Raw genomic sequence first — 25,713 nt, 5'->3', positions numbered from 1 at the left:
ACATCCTTGGGGGGAAGAGTTGAAGAGATTCATCTGAGAATCTAGAGGAGGCCAGCATTTCTGCCTCAGGAGTTGAAGCCGTTGGGCTCAGGTCCTGGCTTTCTAATCTGAAAGAGGAGTACTCAGGTCCTGGCTTTCTAATCTGAAAGACATGAGCTCTGTGGCTCTGCACCTGGCGGTCCCTGTGCTGCCTTCTGAGCTGGGTGCAGAGCCCGGGAGAGGAGGGCAGCTGTGCTCTCTCAGGTCCGGGGACATCTCCACCGAGGTGTGGTTGGGATGCTTTGTGGGGAGGGAGGTCTGATTAGAATCCTGCTAAGAATCCTGCTAATACCAGGAACAGTGGATGAAGAAGCCTGCAACTCTGGAATTGAATGAAATAAAAATCAGCCCTCGGACATTCGCCATTTCCCCCTGTTCCCACCTTTTGGAAATTTTTCTGCATCGTCTACATGATAGTTAATTGTTCACTGGTTTCCTGTATAGACAAAGTTTAATATAAATAAAAAAGCTTTTCACAAAAAAAGAGGCTTCATTAATATAAAGAAAAAAACAGGAAACTGTCTAAAGGAAATCCCACTAACAAAGATAACCAATGATATTTTGCACGGTCATCCATCTAGCCTTTAAAACAGTTTTAAATAAAGGGAATTCTCTTACAAACTTTATTCCTATAGGATACTTTTTTTTTTAATTCAGAAGAATGCTGTAGGTAGCTGCCTGACTGTCCCTGTAGTTTTTCTTTCACTATCTATAGCTTCAGTGAGTCCATATCTTGGCTCATTTGTGAAATTATTTCATGAGATCAAGGAAGGAAGAGTTCATCAATGAAAAATTCTGATTTAGGTATTGCCTGCTGCCCTCCAGAGATAAACCAATCTGTCCCCACAAGTGGTGTAACTGTTTGTCTGCCCTCTTCCTTGTTAGGGTCTTGTCAGTCTGATAATAGTGCTGATAATCTTTTACTTGAATCTCTTTGGTTACTGATGAAGTTGAATAGTTTTTCATCTGTTCATGTGCTATTTTGTGATTTGTATTCTAGGTATGATTTTCTGTTGGGGTGTTGGTTTTCTTTTTAATTTCTTATAACTCTTTGTATATTAAGATTAGGAATTCCATTGTATGATGAAGAATCGCTGTCTCCTTTTCCCTTTTCCCATTTGACTTTGCAAATGGTAGGTTTTATGATAGGTTTAAAGTTTTAAATTATAGTCAAATTTATAAATATTTTCCTACATGGTTTTGGCTTTTGCATAATTCTTCAAAAGTTCTTACTTCCAAAACTTACACAAATACTTGCCCAGTTAAAAAAATTTTTTTTTAATGTTTGTTCTATCTAAACTTATTTTGGTAAGAGAGAATAAGAATAAGAATACTGGTCTAATTTTTTTTTCCCTAAATGGCTAGCTAATTTACTTACCAATACTACTTGAAAAGATCCTTTTAACCTTTTATTTGCAATTTAACATTATAACATACAATTTTTCTGTATGTGCTAGTGTTTCTTTCTGTATCTACTACACTTGATTTATCTGCCTATCTTAGCCCTTTCATTGCTGGGTTTGTTAATATACCTTAACATTTGATAACCGAGTCCCTCTAAAGATGGGGTGAGAGGAACATTGATATTTATATTATCTTGAAAATTGACTATTACCCCAGTAAATTGAGTCTGTGTCCATAGAATTTCCTAAAAGTTTTATGTAAAACAGAAATTCTTAAAATATGATCTAAAAGCCACCTGTATCAGAATTACTTGGGAATGTATTTTAAATTTCAGTTGCCTGAATCCTGCCTCAGAATTCCTGATAAGTAGGTTGGGCTCAGGAAACTTTATAAGCGTCTCAGAAGATTTTTAAGAACACCATAAGAATCTTAGCACTCAGATAATACATGGTGAGCAGCAGCCAAGTTCCTCCTGTTTAAATGTTTAAAAACATCCCCACTACCTTCTTATAAACTACCTGTGTTAGATGTACATGTGTGCATACATGTACCGAGGGTTATAAATGTATCCTGTCAATGAACATTTTTGGGTGCTTAATGTTGTCCAAGTGCTAAGAATACAAGGATAACACCTCGCATCTGAGATTTGACCTTAAAATGTGTAATCCTACTCCCTGGTTATGCACATATGTCTCAAACTCCTAATATATTTTAGGTGAAAGCAAAATTACTGCCCTAGAAGAACGTGCAGTTAGTTGGGGAGAAATATATGCACAAATGGTTCAACTTGAGGCCGCTTATAGAGGGCAGTTCATCAGATACAAGATGATCCAGATAAAAATGGAGTGTGTTGGTTAATGGGGGAGAGTGTATGAAGTACCAGCAATAAATGGGGCCAATCAAGGAAGTTTTTCTAGATGGAAGAAAGAACAGCATTCCAATTGCAACTGAAATTAAAGACTCAGTATTTTTCCCTTAAGAAGCAATAGAACACTCTCTTAGACCTGGTTATGTTTCCTGAGCTCTGTGGGTTATGTTATCAGCAAATTTTCCATCTGGACTGGTCTCTCATGGCAACACAGGTATTTTGTTCAGCTTGTCTTTCTTTAAAACATTATCTTCATTACTTACTATCATGTTAAGATGGTGATTCCAGCTAAGAAGACAGGACATTGAATACAGACTTAACGCTTCATAACCACCTTTTTGTGTCTGCTACTTGCATGTCTTTAGATTCTGGAATACCCAATTGATGTACAACGCAACCAGCTGCCCTTCTTACGGAATCCAGATATCTTGGTGGGAGAAAATGACCTGACTGCCCTTAGCTATCTTCATGAGCCTGCAGTTTTGCATAATTTGAAGGTCCGTTTCCTGGAGTCCAACCATATCTACACTTACTGTGGTAAGTGGGGGGCATCTGTTGGCTGCATGCGTTGGAAAGTGCTTACCAGCTTTAGACTTGCTCAACTCAAATGCTTAGGAGTCCTCATTTCACTCTCTCATTTGTAAGTATCTCTCCACTGAGACCCTTGAAAGGTTTGCAATCAGTGAATGTGGCTTAATTAGGCTGCCCCAGTCTCTGTGGGATGATTGGTGTTAATCATGGATCAACCAGGGAAGAAATGGGTCACACCATGTGGTGCGACTGGCTTAGCTCAGTCCTTGGAGTCCTGGGAGAGGAGTAAGTACAGCATCGTGTCTGAGCTGGGCGCCTGCTCTCAGCACCGAACCCTTGTTTTGTTTTGCCTTGTTTTATTTTCTACTTGAAAAGCCTGCTTTTCTGTGATCTTCTCACTTGCCTCTGTTTGTACTGACATAATACCCAATGAGTATTTGTCAAAATAGTGAGCAAAATTCATAACATATTTTAAAAGTCATGAAATTATATTTGATTTTCTTAAAACTTTTCCTTTCCGCCGGGCGCAGTGGCTCACGCCTGTAATCCCAGCACTTTGGGAGGCCGAGGCGGGCGGATCACGAGGTCAGGAGATTGAGACCATCCTCACTAACATGGTGAAACCCCATCTCTACTAAAAGTACAAAAAATTAGCCGGGTGTGGTGGCGGGCGCCTGTAGTCCCAGCTACTCGGGAGGCTGAGGCAGGAGAATCGCTTGAACCGGGGAGTCGGAGCTTGCAGTGAGCCGAGATCGCGCCACTGCACTCCAGCCTGGGTGACAAAGTGAGACTATGTCTCAAAAAAAACAAAACAAAACAAAACAACGAAATAAACTTCTCCTTTCCTATATCACAAATTCTGATCTCTCTCTCTCTTTTTAAAGAGTATTGCTAAGTGGCAAAGCAAAAATAGAACCCTATAAACCGTTGTTTGAGAGGCAAATTGAGGATCTGGTTGGGGATTCCGGCTGCTGGGCTCCTTTGTGGGAGTCGCTCCTTTGTGGTCTTGTCCCGGGAGGGAACGCCTCGCATGTGCCCTGTGGTCTTGCTCATTGTCATAAGTGACACCTCAGGCACTCAGGGGTTTTTCACTTTTATATTCCACTTTGGTTTGGAATTGATAGTTTTAGCTGCTAAGTTAGGGTGAGTTTTTCTTCCAGATTTCAGGAGCTGTCGATAGCAAGTTGATTCCAGTGCTTGAGAGCTGTGATTTCCCAAAAGCTCCTTCACTCCAACTGCTGGTGGGAGTTTTATTTGAAACAAACTGTCAATTATCAGAGCCTTTAATAAGATATTTACTTCAAAAAGGAGACTTTTAAAATTTGACTCCTATTTTAGGAGAAAAAGATAAGTGACCATCAGGTTCTGTTTTTAAAGGAATACCCTCTAAGATGTCCCAGTGTCTGTACATATTTATCCAAATGCATCTTGACTCCTCCAGTTCAAGCTGTTCAGAGTGACTGAATGGCACAGAAGTCTGAGTCATCCAGGAAGCACTAGATGCTGCTCTGGAGGGGCCAGGATGTTTAAGGAAAACACGTGACCTCGGAGTATGATACGGAAATGTGAATTGCGTGCTACGTGAATTAGAATCTTATAGAACTCTAATAACAAGCAGAACATGTGAGGCTGTTCCTAAGAGGATTCTCCAAGTGATTAGCTGCATTAGTGGAATTTGTTAGGGTTCTGGGCCTTATATTTTGGTCTTTTCAGGCAAACTTCTTTCAAGAGGACTTGAGTGTCTTTTTTACCCCCTGGCCCTTTCCCCTTTATGTGGAATAATCTGGTTTATTACACTTCGCGTTCCCAGTGTCTCTTTTCAGACACCAGAAGGGAACACAATGTCGGAGACTTCCCATCTTAGCAGTCGCCCTTTCATTGCCTTCTCCTTCCCAAGTGACTGGAAAGGCTTCTGGTTTTTGTACCTCAGTCAGTGGGTCTTCTGACATCCAGAATGTGACCTTATGGGAAAGAAAAAGGCATATCTCTGTTTGTCTGAAAGATCAAATTCACAATTTTTTCCTTCTACAGGCTCAAATATCAACCTGCCTCACATCATCCATAAAAGATTATCTGAACTTTATAGCATTTCCTGGTTGCTCAATCAACATGTATTTACTGAGTCCATCACTGCAATCCATTCTTTAGGGGACACAAGGTGTAAGGGAAAAAAGTTGAGATGTGGTGTAATAAAAAATAGCAAACATGCAGTGCTTACTATACAAGGCACTGGTCTTAAGTGTTCTCTTTTTTTTTTAAGACAGGGCCTCACTCTGTCGCCCAGGCTGGAGTACAGTGGTGCCATCATAGCTCACTGCAGCCTTGAACTCTTGGGCTCAAGCATTCCTCTCAGACTCCTCGAGCAGCTGGGACTACAGGTCCATGCCACCATGCCCAGCTAATACTTTTTTTGTAGAGAAGAGGTCTCACTGTGTTAACCAGGCTGGTCTCAAACTCCTGGCCTTAAGCGATTCTCCTGCCTCAGCATCCCAAAGTGCTGGGATTACAGGCATGAGCCACCGTGCCTGGCATTTTCCCTCGCACAATTCATCATTTTTCCTTAGGATGTCCCAGATAAATGCAGTTGTTATCTCCATTTTATGTAACAGTTGAGGAAACTGAAGTACTGAGAAGTAATTGCCAAAAATGACATAGTTGGCTGAGCCAAGATTAGATCTCAAGATATGTAAATTGTATTCTCTGTCCGCATGTTATTTGTATTTTAGTTAAGATAACCAATATACAAATGAGAAAATGTATAATCCTTTCCCAGATTTTAGTTCTGAGATGGATTTTTAAGTCTCTCTAATATATACTGGTAGAATTTAATATCCTCTTCTCTCTGATCCTGGAACACCTTGCACATGTCTATTTTATTAACTCAATTTTTTTTTTTTAGCATTTGTGAGTGAGTGTGTGTGTGTGTGTGTGTTTGTGTGTGTGTATGTGTGTATGCTTATTCCAGGCTGTAGGGTATTTGGAGATCTGAAGCACACAGATGAGCCTTGATTGAGCTGATTGATTGGTTAAGACTGGTTCTGCTGCCCTCTCATTCTTTGGTTTTTGGCATGTGTATGAATGGATGGGTGCCTTGAGCTAATAATGCCAGGTGTCTTCTGTGCTGTCGGAATCTGACCACCTTGTCTGTTTGCAGGTATCGTACTTGTTGCCATTAATCCTTATGAACAGTTGCCAATCTATGGACAAGATGTCATCTATACCTACAGTGGCCAAAACATGGGAGACATGGACCCCCACATCTTTGCTGTGGCAGAAGAAGCCTACAAGCAGATGGCCAGGTGAGAATGTCCTCAGCCCAGAAGTCCTCCTGAGTAGTCAGTGGGCAGGAAGGGGAGTTTTTACCTTCCTCTGCAACTGATGCTCACAGTGAGGTGGTGAGATTGGGACTGAGGAAACATCTTGGAAACAAAGCAGCCCAAGTTCTACTGCCTACCTCATTTCTTCATGCCTTTATCTTATTCTTGTGAACTTGAACCTAGACTTGGAGAGCAGTGGCTCTTTAGACTTATTTCATTTTTTTGAGCAATGGAATAAATTCCTTGCATTTCATCTCTCTTTGACTTCCTTTTGGCCCCTTTTCCTCCCTTTATGGTATAATATAATTCATTTGCTAGCATCTCCATTCATTTACCCCAGCCTGATCTACAGATAGTCTCACTGAAGACTCCCTTTTGAAGAAACCAGGACTCTTTGACAACTTCTTGGGATGCCAAGCACGTAAGGGCAGAAATTGAAGTTTCAAACTGGCAGCTGTGCATAGTGGTTTGGGGTTTTTAGCCTGGAAGTGGAGCTCTGTTTAGGCATTTAAGTAGATCTCCTCCTTATTGCTGTTATTCTTTTCACTCTGAAAAATAGCACATCTGTTTCTTCAGAAAATGGGTTGGGTGATGGGCTGTAACTTCAGCATAAAGTAGGGAAAGATAGCTTTATCAATGTTTTGGGGGAAATGCAGGTCTCAGTTAATGCTAAAATGCTAGATTCTTTCAGCCAAGTTTTTCTTGTCACCTCTAGAGAACACTTTTTGGAGCTGGCAACATATAGCAAAGTCTTTTTGGAGAAGGAAAGCTATTTAGATTAATTTAGTAAAAGGAGTTAGTGATTTTTGTAGGGGGAGAATCCCATTCTAGGTGGTCTGTGCTTCAGTGGATTTCAGGGTATCATTTTCATCCCAGTGAAAATTTCCATGAGGGAAGACTGTTTTATGGGCATCCTTGCAGATTTATAGTGCTTTATTGCTGGCTGTAGAGATCAGTATATAAAAGGTCTGCTTCATTATAGATACTCAGTGATATATTCAAAATAAGCACTGATTGGAGAGCTGAAAAATCTAATAAACAGAATGATCTGTAACTATTTTATTTCTCCAAAGAGTGGAGCTAAAATTATTGCAATCTTTCACTTTTCTCTAATGCCAAAAGAAAGACCATACACTATATTAACCTGCTATCAGGGCTCAACTAGGAGTCCCTTAGCTTGGCAACTCATTGATGTGTACCTCTTACCCAATGGTGTGTGGTTCAGAAGATTGTGTGGAGAGAAGAATGAGCATTAGCATGTTGCACAGTATGCAGCCTGCGCATGAGTTTCTGTTGGAGGCCGCGGGTATGGCACAGAGGAGGGAGGCCTTGGGACTGAACGGATTCTGTGCTTTGGAAGAATCAATTCACCTGAGTCTACATGCACTTCATGTGAGAACAGCGACACTCTTTCCTCCTTTAGAAGATGGTTTCTTTATGGTTCTGAAAGAGAAGGTAGATGTGGCTTGGTTCTTACCATGTTATACCATGCCAACAGCTCTGACAGCGCTCTAAGACTTGTCCTGTCATGGCTGGATGCTTTCATCCCATTCTCTTGGCCATTGCACTTAGGTGTGTCAGAAGTTTCCATTCTTCATCAAAGCTGCTTGTGGACTCCTGTAGGCTTGAGAGTCTTCTAGCTTTCCACCCTGTGGAGTCTTCTAGCTTTATCCACCCTGTAGACCCTCTTGACAAGATTCCTCTGTTCTTCTCTGCCGTGCCTGAAGCTGAGTCCATGGTTATCCTACAATTGGGTTATTTCACTTGCTTGAGACCTTTGCACCCATTATGGGGAAGAGGACGTGTGGGAGTCTGGGGTGATGGGTGTGATACTGTCTTGCCCTAGGGTAATGAATTTGTCAGTAGAGAGTTTGGATGTTAAAGCTGAACTGGGATTGCTTCCTTAAGGATTTTCTTTAAGGTTTTAAGGTTTATACTTGTTTTACCACTGGGTCCCTAATTTTGCTGAAGTTCTTCTGCAATTTTTGCTTATGAACATGCATTAGAAGTAGGAAGACCAGCACATGTGGCCACAGGGGAGAGCTTTTTTGTTTTTTTGGTTTTTTTGTTTTGTTTTGTTTTGTTTTTGAGATGGAGTTTCGCTCTTTCGCTCAGGCTGGAGTGAAGTGCTGCGATATCAGCTCACTGCAACCTCCGCCCCCCAGGTTCAAGTGATTCTCCTGCCTCAGCCTCCTGAGTAACTGGGATTATAGGTGCCTGCCACCACACCTGGCTAATATTTGTATTTTTAGTAGGGACGGGGTTTCACCATGTTGGCCAGGCTGGCCTCGAACTTCTGACCTCAGGTAATCCACCCGCCTCTGCCTCTCAAAATGTTAGGATTACAGGCGTGAGCCACCACGCACGACTGAGAGCTAATTTTGAATTACTTCTGTTGTCAGCAGCTCAGGGTTTCTGTTACTGATCTGAGATGTACATTGGAAGCCTCAGCAGAATCTGTTGAGCCAAGAAAGAAGGGTGACCCATTGGTTAGATGCAGGACAAGTTTTTGCTGTATTTCCTGTATGGGTCTTCTCTATCAGTTTTAGACACTAGAACACATTCATTCAACAGTACTTGTCAACTGTCTGTTGTGCTTTTTCTGACTCATCAGTAGTCATTGAAATAATTATGTGGTTCAAGTAGCCATAGGCTAGCACAGTGTACTTTGAATTTGAACCTGCCTAACAGCTGGGTGAAATGAAAGGTGTAAGAAACTAACATTAATAGTTTTCAGTCTTTGGAGACTACAACTCAGGTGGCCTTGGACTCAGTGATTCTCTTGATTCACTGGGGACTGGATTTTCTTTCTTGATGTGGCTCACACAGGAACTCTTGATGCTTTGAGTAGGTGTGGAGACTCTGTGAGAGCATGAGGGACTAAGTATAGATCTTTATTCCCCCCCATACCCACCCCCCAAGAGTTCCAGGAGAGAACTGCTAGTGCTGGAGGAAAGTTAGAGGAGATAGCCGTAAGAGAAGAGGATTTGTTCACTGTGCCTATCTCTGTCATATTCACCAAGTCTGGGCTTGAGGGTGAATGCAGATTCACAGTGAAGAAAAAGGGGGTGTTAAAATCCTATGAAACGTCATTTTAATGAATTCTGTCCACTGCATGAGAATCCTGTGAGGAAGGGGCTTACCTCCACTTCTTAGCTGTGTGCTTTCTACTCCTCCTTCCCTGTCTGAGACCCAGAAGGCCCACTCACTCATTTTTACCTTCCTCAGCTCCAACCTCAGGTCCTCCATCAAATCATTATCAGCAGATGTTTATAAAGTATCAGTTATTTGATAGGCTCAATACTGGCCACTAGGAAATGTAAGACCTCACCCTGCTTCTTAAGGGGCTCACTGTCTGGTGGGAGAGAAAAGACGTACGTAGGCCAAGAAGCCTATAATTGCAGGAAGTATAAATAGAAACTGTGCCACGGTGTCATTTAAATTGCGCTTGGAGACCTAATGTCACAGATCGTCCGAGAAAACTAGGATTTTAGCTGGGTCTTGATGAATTGGTAGGATGCACAGAGTAAGAAGAGGGCCTCTAGGTGGGTGGAGTAGTGGACCATGACCTCAGAAGTGGGGCGTCAAAAGGCATCATGAAACCACAAGATACTGCCTTGCACTCACTAGGATGTCTACAATCAAAGATATGATAATGAGTGTTGGCAAGGATGTGGAGAAATTCGAATTCTTACACCCTGCTAGTGGGAATGTCAATTGGTGCAACTGCTGTGGCAAATAGTCTGATGGTTTTTTTGAAAAGTAAAACAAAAATCCCCCTATGACCCAGCAATTCCATTCTTAGGTATGCACCCAAGAGAAATGAAAACACATTTTTTTTTTTTGAGATGAGTTTCACTCTTGTTGCCCAGGCTGGAGTGCAATGGTGCAATCTTGGCTCACTGCAACCTCCACCTCCCACGTTCAAACAGTTCTCCTGCCTCAGCCTCCCGAGTAACTAGGATTAAAGGTACCTGCCACCACACCCAGCTAAATTTTTGTATTTTTAGTAGAGACAGGGTTTTGCCTTGTTGACCAGGCTGGTCTCGAACTCCTGACCTCAGGTGATCCACCCGCCTTGGCCTCCCAAAGTGCTGGGGTTATAGGCATGAGCCTCCATGCCCGGCCTGAGAACACATATTTACACAAAAGCTTACACATGTTTTTAGCAGTGTTATTCACAATAGCCAAAAGGTGAAAACAACTTATATGTTCATCACCTGATGAATGGATAAATCAAATGAGGAATATCCATGCAATGGAATATTATTGGCCATAAAAGGGAACAGAGAACTGATACATGCTACCACATTGATAAACCTTGAAAATATGCTAAATCAAAGAAGCCAGATAAAAAAGACCACGTGTTGTCTAATTCCATTTCTATAAAATGTCCAGAATAGGCAAATCTATAGAGACAGAAAGTAGATTTACAGCTGCCTAGGGCTGGAGGTTGAGGCAAAATGAAGCATGATTTCTGAGAGTTATGTTTTTTTGGGGGGTGGTTGTGGCGGGTGATGAAGTGTTCTAAAAATTGGTTGTGCTGCTGGATGCACAATTTGGCAAATGTACTAAAAATCATAGAATTATACACAGTAAATGAGTGAATTGTGTGTTCTGTGAATGATATCTTAATAAAGCTATTATAAACAAAAAGACATGGCCAGGAGACTGTACCTAGGCAAGTTTAACTTACATGGTGAATGGATCTGCAGGGGTGTTCTGGGCTGTAAAGTTAGAAACAAGGTGAAGCAAGACTGTGGAGGCCTTTGCAGGCTGGGGTGAACTTTGGGGAAGAAATGTATTCTATTAACACAGTACAAAGTTGGCCAAACGAGTTTGGGAAACCGTGGGTTAACCAAGTTAAACGTCTTCCTTTAAGGCAGAGCTTCCCAGAGCCCTTATGTTGACACGCCTTCTGAGTTTCCAAGATAGGGATCCATTATGCTGGGTTTGCAAATCATATTTAGACACAAAACTGTTTTCAAAGATTATTTCGAGGGACTAATGTTCTGTGCAACACTGTTTGAGAAATGCATAGGGCAATGGAGAAATTTTAGTGTCTTGGATAAGGAAATAATATGATACAAGAGATGTTCAAAGAAAAATTTTTCTCTGTTGGGTCCTGTTTCTTAATGATATTTTCTTCTCCATATTCCTGTACATTTCCAAGGATAAGAATACCTTCTCATCAGAAACTTAGCTTGTTGTGGAAAGAACTTATCTGTGTATAGTATGGATGAAAGGCAGGGAATTATAAAGTGTGAGACTTTGTGGCACAGTGTTATGTTCTATTTCTTTTGTCTTCCATGCTTTACCCCAGTGCATATGATTGGTGCTCAAGAAAGAATAGGAATTATTCTCATTAATGCATCTAATTCTCAGAGTTGCTGTCTGAGATTAGTTATCCCCACAATACAGATGAGGATAGAGACTTTCGGATGCTGTATAGTTCTCCAAGGTCATGAAGACAGTAACTGGGTACAGATGGAGTTCAGACCCAAGCCTCTTTGCTGCACAGCTTCCTCCATTACCTGAGAAAAATGATACTACCTCCCTAGATGGGCAGAGATGGAACCCAGACCCAATCTGATTGCCCAATGCTTCCTGCATTAGCCAAGAAGCTGTTCTACCTCCCTTAATGGGTAGCAATGGAATTTAGACCCAATCTGTTTGCCCCAGAGCTTCCTGCATTAGCAAAGAAGCCCTACCGCCTCTCTAAATTTTGTCTGCTCAGCCCCAGTCTTGTCAGAACAGAGCAGATTCTGGTCCCCCAAGTAGCACTAAGGGGCAAAAGGGATAGATCTTTGTCCTTACAGTTTTGGTGTGTTTTCCAGCCTTGTTGGTGGGAGTGTGCCATCTTATTTGGCTGGCGGTGTCTGATTGCTTTTTTGAGCCATGTGTTTTATTTGTGCTTTTTTTTTTTTTTTTTTTTTTTTTTTTTTTTTTTTTTTTCTGAAAGGGAGTGGGGATGCTGCAGAGCAAATTTATTTGCTCAGGTAACCAAGGTAATACAGCACCCACATTCCCATCTGTCTCTGCTGTGTTGCCAGCTGTGACTAATAATGAAAGATGAGATTGCTGTTGCCTGGGGTCCTGGGGAGGGGTGTGCAGCTTGGAGGCCTGTGGAGGGTGGAGCTGGTGAGGAATGAAATGCACCCTTGCTAGAGTGGGAGCCAGCCTGGAGATGGGATCTGGAGCCCATGAGGGTGAGAGCCTGTGCTCGGCAAGGATAGGGATTCTAGTTAGTGGTCCTGGTTGGGCTCTTGGAGGAGGGTCTCTTGCTTGATTTGGATCCCCATAAGTGTGAAGAGCATGTAGAGAATTTGATGATCTTCCAGGGAAGCAGTATGGAAATGAGTGTCCATCGTGAAAAAGCCAAAAGTGTCCCTCTTGGTAAACAGGAGGGAAGAGGTTGCAAGGCTGATAGTATGAGTGGAAGTGACAGGCTGTCCTCTGTTGCCGGGACAACCCTTAGTGAGCACATTGACTCCTCAGGGCAATGAGAGAAATTCCTGATTGTGGAAATAAATTGCAGAAGGGAAAGGGAGCGAGGAAGCTATGCATTTTCCATTTTTGGAGGTCAAAACGACAATTAAAAATAGAATTGACAACTTTATCTTCCTAATGATGGGGATGGAATGCTCTGGGATGCATGAGAATGGACTCAGGACTTTTGCAATCAACTCCAGGCTGCAGATTCTGTTGAACTTGGATCTTCGGAAATACATCTTTCATAAAAGAATTATACAGAGGTGACCTAAATCTTCATGTTGCTTTGAGATCAAGTTTTAAATAAAATAATGTTGGTTTCTTCCTTCAGTTTTGGCATAAGGTGGTTTGTTATTCTGGGCTGTTACATTGTTTGGGGAGGTTGGGGATGTGGAGTGCTTCCTAATTGAGCCTCAGGTTTTCAGTGAGAGAATGTGGTCATGCTGATCTGAGTGTGGAGCCAGGTTTTTCCTGTAAGTGGTATGCTATGCAGGAGTATGCAAGGGTCTGCCCCCAGTAACCTCTTCTCTCCCAACCTGCCATGTGTCCAGGGGTAGACTCTCTGACCTCTGTGGTTCTCAGCATCTTCACACTTTGAGGGGAACATTGGCCTTGCTTCTGAGAGGAACTTGGATCCAGTGAGAAGTCATGAGGAACCTTTGAAAGCTCTTGAGTGCCGTAAGACTTTGGGCACAGTTGTTACAGCTGACAGATTCATGGGCTATGGTTGAGTACAGTGAATGGTGGAATCCTTGGGGAGGTCAGTGAGTAGGGAGCAATGACTGGGTGAATTTTATAGTAAAGTCTGAAACCAGGACTTCAGTCAGCCCTGAATTTTGGGTGAACTTTTCTTTCCTTTCAATATAATTTCAAGTCAGGGTTAGTCAGAATTGCTTTAGGACAAGGTATAAGAGATGCTTAAAATGTCTGAACACAGGAATGGTTTTTAATCTCTTCTCCGGCCCTGTCTCTTATTTCTTGAACATGCCCTGAGCATTCCACATTCAGATTCCTTCCTGGGATGCTCCGGGCTGTTCACTTGTCCCTGTTCTTCCCTGCTCACCTGGGTCTCTCGTTCTGTGACCTCCTGCACAGCCATGCCAGTGCACACCTATCTCCCTCCCCTAGGGATGATACAGCACTAAGGTTTTGTGAAATTGTTTTTGATCCTTAGATGGTATTATTGTTTGTGTCTACCTATCATATTCAAATTGCTAGTTTTATTGTTAAAATTTCTGAGTAGGGGAAAGTTATTTAAGTGTGCAGTGAATATGGCTAATGATGACATTCCTATTTTAAAAGAAACTGATAGTAAATGGATATTGCCATCTCCTTTTAAAATTATGCATTTAGGAAAGAATAGGAGAGGCAGTTTCCTTTGCCTGCCTTCTATGACCCTGCAGAGGTCATAAATATTATTAACAGTTGCATATCTGCAGTGTACCCAACATGATTTGTGAGGTTAAATCTCAACTTGAAATCACAAAGCTAAGAGATATTTTAGTTTCTTAATATTCACTATTTTACTTGGAGAAGCACAGCATGTTAGAAAGGAGAGAGCCTGCGTCACCCGGTGGAAATTAGTTGTGCAGGATACTGTGTTCTGGCAAGTGGTCTTTTGGATGCTGCCCTACCATTCCCAGTATAGGATGCTTTCTCAAATGAGTTACATTTTAACAGCTTTCATTGTCAGGAGTTTCTGTATCACACAGCAGTTTACTGAGTCTCTATTTGCCTTCAGGCATGGATCTGAGCTCTTCCTGTGCAGCTGTCCAGGATAATGATCATTTTCTTATATGGCAGCCCCTTCTGTCCTTGCCCCCCACTCTGGCCCAAGCCTCCTGGCTCCCCCCACTGCCATTCCTTATGAGCATGGCTTTTCAGACACTCTCCTATCTGGCCACCCTGAGATGTCATCTGGTCTTTCTGTCTGATGTTGATGGTCGCTGGATGTGGTCTGCAGAATGTGACGTGATGAGGTACTCATGCAGAATTTCTAATGGAGCCTGAAAATGCATTTATTTTTGGCAGGTGTTTCATGTTGTTTACTTATTATAAGTTTACAAGCCACTAAATTTCCATCCTTTCCCTGCCCCACCCACATGCACACTCAAGAACTGTTTTTAATCACAGCTTTAATGGGATGTAAATAACTAGCAATAAACTACACATATTTAAAGTGAAGTCACACACATTAAATTGCACATACAATTAGACATTGTATAGTATACATCCCTGAAACCATCACCACAATCAAGATAGCAAACATTTCCTTAATCCTGAAAGTTTTCTTGTGTTTTTTCTTTTTTCAAAGTCTCCCTCCATCCCCAGGTAACCTCTAATTTGCTTTCTGTCAGTGTAAATTCAGACTGCTCTTAAGGTATGTTGCCTTCATCCTGCACTTGCTCAATTGATTGTTTTTTCCCTTTGGTATGCTGAGCAGGATTCTATCCATATTAAATTTCACCCTTGTACTTGTGTTCTGCTATTTTGTGAATGTTATCTTTTTGAATTCTGAGTTTTGCATCTAATAGATCAGGTCTCCCTAGCTTGATGCACTGCAGATGTAACGAGTCTGTTGTGTCGTTCTTATCTAGAAGTGGTAATCTGGATAGATTCCTGTAATGTGCATAGATTCCTGTAATGTGCATGGAGCAGTTTTTTCTCCAGGTACTAGTCACTTAATCTGGTAGAACTAAACATTGAGTCAAGTGTTCATGTGTACTAAGTCTTGCTAAAACCTGCACACACTGGGTTAGTCAATCATGACTTGTTCTTGGAGCACTCTTGGTTGTGTGTGAGGTGGACTAGCACAGACCCCAGTTAGCGTCCTAGCTTCACCCGGGTCAAGCTCCTTCACTTAAGGTGTGCCATTTCTTTATTGGAGCAAGGGCATGTGTGTGTGCACTTGTTTCCTCAGGTCACTGTAAGGCATAAATGGGCTCAAGTATTGGAGCACTGAACATGGAGCCCTGTGCAGGCAGAACCCTCCTGGGTGTGGGCTTCTGTGGCTCCTACACGCCGTTCTAGTTACACAGCATTTTCCTGATGTCAAAGTCAAACTTGTCACCCTACATGGATTTCTTTTGGAATTAATAATGGTGCTGACATGTGAGTAGGATTTAGTTTTTCAAGGTGTGTCCAAAATAATTTTCATTTAAAAAAAGCTAATAGAATGTGAAGCCTAGCAGGATGAAATGGCATTGCTATTTACCTCGTAGTAATGCCGTTCATGCTGTGTTAACCACTCTTTCTTTTTCTACTGTGTATTTTCACATTTATATCCCAGAAGACAGAGCAGCTGAAAACCTAGTCTGACAATGGGCCTGAGTTTTGCAGCAAAGGAACATGCTGGGAAGCAAGGCGGCTAAGAGTTGAGTGTCCAGGGACAGTAACGAGACTGGCTTAAGTTCTTAAAACACAGTAGCTGTGTGGCCCTGAGCAAGTTTCTCAAGTTCACCTCAATTTGCACCAGGGTTTGTGTCTCTAAGATAGGCATACATGTCATGTCTAACTCACTAAATTGTTAGAATTAAATCAGTTGATAAATGAAAATGCTTAGTATGATTTCTGGCACAGAGTGAGGGTTTGCTGAATGTCAGGCACAGTGGTGGTGATAGTACTGATGGCACATCATAGGTGTCGTATCCCTCATCATGTCACAGTATCCAAAAGAAGGAAACGATGGAAGAATTCATAGTTGAGTAAGATTCCATTTATAGGTTGTCCTCAGAACAGATTTTACTTTCAGGGCCAAGTGAACAGTATAAGGATAGCCAGTTCTATGTGCTCAGTGAAATTCTTTTGGACTTTTTAATAGGTTTGTGCTTGGCAACCAATTATAACTTCTATGATTCTATTTTCAATTTGTCTAGAGGAAATACAGCATAAACTACACTATGCTTATGCATTTATTATATATGGAAAACAAGCCACTTTCAGTTCTACAGTTAGAGTGAAATTGCACTGTTAGTGGCTGAGCAGCCCCAGAATAGCGTTTAAATGTGGACTTTACTGCCCTTTTACAGTTTACAGACACTGTAAACGTAAACAGAAAATAATATATTCCATTGCAGGAACCAAATAATTATTTGATTGTATATAGCCAGTTTTTTGAAAGATGGCTAGCCAGACACCACTGATCATGTGGTGGATGCCAGAAAGCAGCTTTTCTTAAGTGGCTGGAAGTGATAGTCCCTTCTGGTGCTTGCAGTAGTGAATCAGTTGGTTAGAGCAGCAATCTTCAAACTGCTGGGGTGTACTAGTTTTTGGAAGATGATTCACTAGAGTATGTGAAGAAAATATTAAAACTTTATTTTTTTACATCTTTTTAAAACTTAAAATATCATTTGTATATGTTTTATACTATGCATAATATAGTACAGTGTCACAGAAAACAATTTATAAACTGTAAGCATGTTCACAGTTTTCTTTATTGATAGGGATGCATGTCAAAAGTAAGATAATGAGTTTAATGTCTAGGGAAGTGTCTAAAGCCACATATGCAGTGATCTTTGTGGACTGGTTCATATTTCAGAGGAAAAAGCTGTCCCACGGGCCCCTGCTGGGGTCCTTGTCATTGTACCTTTACAGTGGGGTGAAGATGAGAGAAGGTGGCCATTCCATCTTAGGGAATATAACTGAGAGTGCAGGCCATTGTCCCTCTATTAGTGTCATCTGTCTAGGCTGGGTTAAAGAGCACTGCACTGTCTAGTAGCTCTTTGATTCTATTAGGATATAATAAACATATACTGTTACAGGACCAACAGGTTCATATGCCCACTGCACAGTAACAGACCAGTTACACTGAGACAGCAGGGTTTTCAGCAGAGAAAGAGTTTAATGATCACAGGGCACCAAGAGAGGAGATGGGAGGAGATCCTTAAATCCACCTCCTTGAGGAGTTCCGGGCTGGAGTTTTTAAGGGGATCACAGAGGGCAAGGGGCTAGACAACTGGGGTTGTGAACTGGTTGGAGGAAGGGTGATGAAATCATCGGGATGTGGAAACTGCGTTCTTTGAGTTAGTTTCTCCTGAGGTCCTTCAGACCAGCTATGTTAGTATCACTGATATGCAGGTCTTGACCTGTAGATGGTACTTAAAGCCTTGGGAATGGATGATGTCAATCAAGGAGAGATTGTTAGGGAAGTGAGAACTTCCCAGATCTCTGAAAGAAAATCTTAAATGGAAAATGTTTTTTAATATTCAAGTTGTTATCTATAGAGCAGTGAACGGGAGCTATAGTCTTGTAACAGGGTCTCTGTAATTCTAGGACAGTAGGCACCACATAACTATGAGGAAGAGAGTCAGAAAGCAAGCCGACCTCATGAACACTGAATGTGCTGCAAGCTTGGTTTATTTTCATTTTCCCACTCCCTTCTTCCCTGATTAATTTTATACAGTTCGTAAGGACAGTTTTAGTATGATAATGAACAGTGTTTTGACTTAAAGGAACTCCCCAAAGCTCTTAATTTTAACTATCTCCATGATTTTAAGTCCCAGTGTATGGCTAGTCTACCTGGTCTTTGTCCACAGCAGATACTCGGGAAGTCAGGGAACCTCTCTGGTTGAGGAATACTGCAGAAAGGTCTGCAGGCAGTGCAGCATGGCCAGGAGAAAGCCCCATGTCTATGTCCTTTAGAACCACAGTGGACAGGCTTAAAAGCAAATGCCTTTGAACCTTCCTGGCTCCTGCCCCTATTACAGATCGATAATGTTGGAAGCCAGAGGGAGGAGTGTACTTACAGCCAAAAGATGACGGAAATTAATTTGGTCCTCTGTATTCCCAGAACTAGAGAATAAAATGATTCATGATTGATGACTTGCTTTTAAAAAGATGTCCTTTTTGGTTAAAAAGGGCATTAAACCTTCTCTACAAGAGCAAGTACCAAGAATACTTAGAATTATGGGATGTCTTTTGAGAAAATGTCTTGCACCTGGTAGCAGAGAGAAGGAGAGAGGTGGAATCCCAGCACCCAGGACTTCTCTGCTTAGTCACCCTTCCTAGCTAAGAATGACTGCACCCCTGACCTTGTGTTCCTGAGAATGTTAATATAAGTGTTTGAACTATTTAGAGTCTCTCTAGCCACATTTAGTTTAAATGTATGGTATTGATCTTCAGTTATGATACTGGGGATTAATATATGCTCACTCGGGTTTTTTCTGCTTCCGCACTGGGTCATTGGGCTCCTAGAGTTTTATTCCATTTGTCATTGCACATATTAATCCATCATAATTACCTGATGTGTACGAACTCCAGCTCAGCAATCTAAAGCAGAGATTTTTCTTCCTGCCTGTATGGGGTTGTCACTTCTACAATTTTGTCCATTTTACTTCCTTATATTTATAGAGCCCCTTATATTTTATTTTATGGAGTATGTGTTGAGGTAGTGCATAGAGTGAAGATTTTTTTTCTTTCTGAAGTTGGAAGGCTCTTCAGGTCAAACAGCATAGGACAGGGTTTCATCTTTCAGCATCTTCAACGCATGATACCCGGTCTAGGCTGGAAACTTCTAGTGTCTCCGGGAGGCAGCCATTCCACTTTTGAAAGCTCTTAGAGGTGAAGAGATACCAGCCGCCCTGCTACCTACCACAGCCCCAGGGCCTGCCTCTTTTCTGGAGCAGCTGCTAGAACAGACTATTCTGGGAATGGTCTTTTAGTCTTTTTTCTCTAAGCTAAACTCTTCCTCATCTCATTAGCATTCTTCATGTGATAGTTTACTATTCTGATTGACTTTCTCAGAATATATTTCAATTTTTCTAAGTATCTCACAAAATGTGGCTTCCGTAATTGAGCCAGGATTCTAACTCAACTGGCCAGAGAAGAGGATCATGGCCCTCTCCCATTCTCCTGGTATCTAGATACTCTGGAGCCGCATTAATAGAAGCTTACTAATAGCTTCATACTATGATGGTTGATAATAACCAAAATAGTCCAGTGCTTTCCGTCTGAACTGTGGTCACGCCGCAGCTTGGTTTGGCATAATACCCTTGTGAGGTGTGTTGTGGGCCCACTGCAGTTCAAAAACTTGTCTAGGTCATGTAGGCTAAGTGGCAGTGTCCATTTAGAATCCAGGTGCTCCCATTCTCTAGAGCTCTTTCCTCTAGAACTGAGGTGGGCTGATGACGCAATGTTCTTAGAACTAATGAAAGATGTCTTTACTGTCATGGTAGTAAATCACTAAAGTGACTTTTTTTTTTTTTTGTAAGACATTGTAGGATTTCTCACATAGGAAATCTGTAAGAAGAATAGATGGTTTATTCTTAAAGAAGATGCCTAGAAGACCCTTTGTAACTTTGACAAAGCAGCAAATTCCACCTCCCATCCTGCCCCTAGTCCCATCTATGGGTTTGTCAGTTGCCTCCTCCAACAATGCTGGTCTGCTGTTATCTTAAACAGCAGCACACCAAAGCTGAACTTAGCTTCCCACTTTAGGCTGGGCTTCTTCCTTAGTCTGGTCCGGGGATTCCCTTAAACCTGTCCTAGAACCTAGGAGGTGGGGGTAAAGGGCCTGCGTGGGGAGTGAGGACACTGGATGCTTCCCTTGGTTCCTCTGTGACCCTTCCTTCAGACTTCCCTCCCAGTCCCCTGTGGCAAGTGGGACTTCTGTCACTTTACATCCTGAATTCTCTCTGACCGTGGTGCAAAATTCATATTGCTTAAACCTCACTCTTGATATCTGAGTAGGAATCTAACAAACTTTTGAATGTTCCTTTCTCCACGGCAGCAGGCAGGATTTCAAGACAATTATCATGATGAGAACCAAAAATCCTGTTTTGATCGTCAGAAGTTGAACTCTGTGGCATTTGTCCCTTGTCTTTGCCTTCTTACTATAATAATCCTAATCCACTTGAGACAAATTAATGCCTTGAGTTGAGGAAGGAGAATGTCATAATAAAAGAAATGTGGAAGAGAAAAGTGTATTAATGTATTTCAAAAATATTTCCCTGCTTTGATATGTGTAATAAGAGGGAATGTTTCTTAGTATCATAAGTGATATATGAATGTTATTTAATTGCCATTAGAACAGTATCTCAATTTTATAGATTTGGCAGTGGAATCACAGCGGAGTTATACATCTTCCCTAAGGCACATTGCTGGCAGTTGGCAAACATGATGTGAACTTGGGCACCCTAACTCTAGACTGTATGCTGTTAACTGGCTTGGGGCACTTCTGGGTTTTTGGCTTGGGAAACTAGGTAGATGGAAGTTCTATTTGCTGACTCTGAGAAAAAAATGGTGGGGAGGGAGGGAGGGAAGAGACACTCCTGGGGTGAAAATCAAAGAGTTAATCTGGAACCTGTTATGTCTAAGAATTTCCTACCCTGCTTCTGACATCCAAGTACAGCTGTCTAGTCACTGTACAATGCAGGTAAAACAGGTGTTGACCTGTAGATGGTACTTAAAGCCTTGGGAATGGATGATGTCAATCAAGGAGAGATTGTTAGGGAGGAGAGAACTTCCCAGATCTAACCCCAAAAGGAATGTTAACATAGATCTGGTACAGAAGGAGGAATGTACAAGTAAGAAATCTGGTCTAGAGAGTGAATCTCAGCTGGGAGTGGTGCTTCCTCCTTAGGGCAATTTGAAATGCTTGTAAGATTTTTTTTTTTTTTTTTTTTACGCAGATGGGATGGGGTGTTGTGGAGAAGGACCACATAGATTGGGCATTGGTTAGGATGCAGAAGAACCTGCAACGTGAGGGACAGTCCTGGGCATCTAAGAATGGCCTCCCATCAGACAGAGCGTGACACCCAAACTGATCTTTAATACTTCTTGTAACTCACATTATACTGCCTTTTAATTTTCAGACCTCTTTTCTCTCTCTTGCCTCATGGCTCTTGCCGTAACTCCAGGATTGTGGAAGGGCAGCCTTTATTATATCCCCTCTTGAGAGCTGAGGCCCTGAGAGGTAGAGTGATGGCCAAAGGCACCGAGTTCGTGAGTGGCAGAACTAGTGCTGGAACCTGGTTCTCCCGCCTCTTACTCCAGGGTTCTTGCTGTTCAATTCTTGTGTCTCTCTCCATGGATTGAATCTGGAGAACCTGTGCTTCTAGCTGTCCTCCAAAGTGTTGCCAGGCTTGCACTAAATAATTTGCTCCATCCAGTGGGAGGTTTTCACAGCTGTGGCATGGCAGGATCTCCTCGGAGGCCCTGTGTGAGCCGACCTGTTTGACACTCAATGGCTCCTCAGAGGAGGATGGCAGTGCAGGTAATTATGCTTGTGTGTGCATATATGTTCCTCTGTGTGCACTGGGAGTGCAGAACCAGTGTGGATTTCATAGGTTTGCTACACCATGTTCTTAGTGTACCTCTGCACACTCTGTGTGCTCCATGTGGGCAGCTGCTGGGTAGACATACAGTTTGAGCTACAGGAATGCCCTGTGTATCAATTTCTGCCCTAGAAACAGAGCAGCTTTTAAAATTCTGAGTAGGTATGTAATTAGATAATACCAGTTAGATGACTGTCCACAGATTCTCCTACCTAAAAACATCCATCTCCCTGGCCTAGCACTTTGTTTAGCTGAGTCAGAAACTATTAAAACATATATTTTCTGGTAGAGAAAGTCATCTATGCCACACCTCTCAAATGTGACTTGGGTCTGTTGCCTTCGATTTCTACCCCTGCTGCCTGAGTTCAGGGCCGTCTCCTCCACCTGGTTGCTGCTGCCACCTTGGCATGAGCCACATCCTTGCTGCGTGTCTTCTGACTCCTGGGTCCATCCCCCTCACTGTTGTGGTCATTGTAGGTAAATGATTTCAGCATTGAACATGCTGTTGAGAAGGAACCTGTAGGCAGGGAGGTTGAAGCTGGGAGAATGGGAGGCAGAGAAAGGGGGTCACTATTAGATTGGAGTCCCGACATTCAGGTAGGATCCAGAGCTCAGATGGTGGAATTTTGATCCATAAGAAGGCAGAGTTCTTCCCATCTTAAGGGGAGGAGGAAAGCTAGGAGCTGCTGCAGGAAGGTTGGTGCATGTGGTGGTGGGAAGTTGAGGGACTGTTCCAGGCCTTTTCTTGTCATCTTAATGCATAGTAGATACTGAAATGTTGGATGCATAATGAGTGTTTTATGTTTCTGATGATGTTGATGTCCCTGGCAAATCCCTGGGGAGTGGAGATAGGATCAAGTCACTTGGAGAAGAAAGTATGAACCTGAGCCTGCAATGTATGCTGTGAGCTGATGCATAGTCAATGCAAAGGTGGGTGGGTGGCTGGATGAAATGATTGTGTCTCTCATGAGACAGGTGACTGAGGGTAGGGTGTGGAGCTGCAGGCTTTGCTAAGTAGCCTAGGGTAGATGAGCTTGGTGAGCTGGAGTGTGATGTTGAAGACACAGCCATCAGTGTGTAATGCTTGTGGACTCATCAACCATGCCCTGGTCTGTGACCACAGACCCTCTCACCCAGGTTAGCTTGAACTTGTCATAGGTAGAGTAGACAGATCATGCAAGAGAAAGAGGGACACAGCCAGAGACCTTGACAGCTGGAAGGATCCTTAGATATTTTTTGGTCCAATTCTTTTATTTTAAAGCAGACGAAATTTGAGTACCAGGGAGGAAAAGGGACTTCCTCCTGGGCCCTGCCTTGAATTTGTGTTGAGGCCACCAGGTACGAGACTCCCAGTCTTGCGCTCATTCTAATCTTTAGTAAAATGGCAAAATCCCTGGGCCAGTATTAGACCCCAGTTCTGCTCACTGTTGTCTTGACATGAACTGAGAAAGACCTTGAATCCTAACCTCCTCATGGCCTTGGCCAAGATGGACATCACATCAAGCCATTATGGCAATTTAGTTTTGTGTGAGTGACTGTTTTTCAAAGAAATAGCTAGCAGAATGCTGGGCTCTGGAGGCTGGACCACTGAATTAAAGAGTTTGCTGGGTGAGATAGATCCGAAATAGAGGATTGTGTTTGTAGAATAGCATAGAGTAGCCAGCATGAGCAGCACAGGTGTGATTGGATCCCAAGATGATCTGGGAGGGAAGTGGGGAGGGTAGCAGGGGCCGACTCACCCACTGAGCAGGTTGTGCCTTCTCACTGTGGCTTAGTCGTTACCCATCTCATAAAAACTGCAAGGAAAATAATAAGGATGGAACTGTGACTTCTATGCGTTTATATTACATAATAGCTTATGGTTTCTCTACTAGCTACGTGATTATGGTGTATCTTTAAAGCACGTTTATGAACTTTTTCTCTTTTCAAATGTCAATGAGGTTTCATTTAGTGGTCAGTTGTGACTGTGCTGTGTGAGATTTGCTGTCTTGCCTCCCGGGTGGATAATAAATGGCTCTGGAGTGTAACATGGTTTCACATTATTCTTCCTTCAAAAAGTGAAGTCCAATAATGTAAGTGGGCAATCATGTAGACTGGGGAATAGATCTTCATCCCAGCTGGTAAGAGAAAAGTGCTACCTCTTTAGTTAGCTTGGGATATTATCTCTAGCTACTTTTCTTTTTTCTTCCCCTCCTCCCTTCTTTCTTGTGATTCTTAAAAATGCTTATTAAATCCACCTTTCTTAGCTTGAGAGTAGTAGTTGAAATGGCTGCCCACTAAAACCGTGTGTTAAGATGTGATGCTAGCATCCCCCTTTATCATCGTAAGAAGCAGTGTGATGTGATAGCTTAGAGCCTGGATGCCAGAGCTAGCTGGCCCAGTAACCAGCTGTGTGACCTCAGGCAAGTGATACCAGCTCTCTGTTTCCTTATCTGTAGCATGGGGATGATAATAGGACTTTATTCCTAGGGTTGTTCTGATGATCAATTGATATACAGAAAGTGCCTACCCGGAAGATGCTATATGAGAGTTAGCTATTATTATTTTCATAAAGCTTGCCTTGACCATGTTAATCCAGTTTAAAAGTCCTCATGTTGACATTTTAAAGATTGCGAAGGCTTCTCTAGACAGTTTATAGCATATAAGGAATGAACAATTGAAGAAGTTAAGATCTTAACATGTCTTTAAAAAGAGGTGGAGACATGCAGAAAATATACATGCAAATGCAAAGTTCTTTATAACATAAGTTAGACTGTATCATCAAGCAAAAAAAAAAATGGGTATATGTATGAGCAAGCAAAAGGATATGAGTGACTAGCTGGGCATGGTGGCATGTACCTGTAACCCCAACTACTCAGGAGGCTAAGGTAGCAGGAGATTGCTTGAAGCCAGGAGTGCTAGGCTGTGGTGAGCTATGACCACAACTGTGAATAGCCATCCAGCCTGGACAAGACAGCCAGACCCTGTCTCTTAAAAATATGTATTAAAAATATTTCTTTTGAAAGGGCTGAGTGACTGGAGAAAAAAACACTTAAAAGAGACCCATTTAACTCATATTTGAGTCACATGCAAGAAACAGAAACAACTACCCAAATAATCATATTTAAATCCCTAAATTCGTTTCTGTGTTTAAAGTACACTTGAATACTTGAAAATTTCTATAGGCAATTAATTAGAATTTAATGTTAACTGGCGTTTCTGGGAGTGAAGAACGTTAAACCAGTCTAATGATGAATGGTATTACATGGTATCACAGCTTATTTAGGGAATAGTGATTGGAATGATTTCTGAACAGTATGCTGTGTCTCATCTTTTGATTTAACAATTAGATTTTGATGGGCTCAAAGTATGAGATTTTCAACAACTGTCCTTCAAGAAAATTCACAAAGCTACTATTATACCTATAAAACATTTAACCCAAGAAAAAGGAAAACACATGCTCACATAAATGCTTCTCCATGAATATTTATAGTAGCGTTATTCGTAATGGTCAAAAAGTGAAAACAACCCAAATGTCTATCAGCTAAAAAATTAAAATATAATCTCTCCTTACAATGAGATATTATATTGTTTGGCTATAAAAACGAATGAAGTATGGATACATCCTACAACATGATGAACCCTTGAAAAATTATGCTAAGGTAGCCGGGCGCAGTGGCCCACGCCTGTAATCCCAGCACTTTGGGAGGCCAAGGCGGGTGGATCATTTGAGTTCAGGAGTTCGAGATTAGCCTGGCTAACATGGTGAAACCCCGTCTCTACTAAAAATACAAAAAAAAAATTTAGCCAG

General features: G+C 42.0%; 1 protein-coding gene across 1 annotated transcript in view; it reads left to right on the top strand.

The window, feature by feature from the left end:
• Positions 1-25,713, top strand: part of MYO5B (myosin VB) — a 372,359-nt gene that overhangs the window by 152,157 nt on the left and 194,489 nt on the right. The window contains exons 3-4 of the mRNA NM_001080467.3: positions 2,677-2,848; positions 5,997-6,141. Of these exons, the coding sequence (NP_001073936.1) occupies positions 2,677-2,848; positions 5,997-6,141 (317 nt within the window). The remainder of the gene's footprint in view (positions 1-2,676; positions 2,849-5,996; positions 6,142-25,713) is intronic.

This window comes from Homo sapiens, chromosome 18 (genome assembly GCF_000001405.40).
Source record: "Homo sapiens chromosome 18, GRCh38.p14 Primary Assembly".
In the NCBI taxonomy this organism is placed as follows: domain Eukaryota; kingdom Metazoa; phylum Chordata; class Mammalia; order Primates; family Hominidae; genus Homo; species Homo sapiens.
This window is presented reverse-complemented; position numbering and strand designations above follow the sequence as displayed.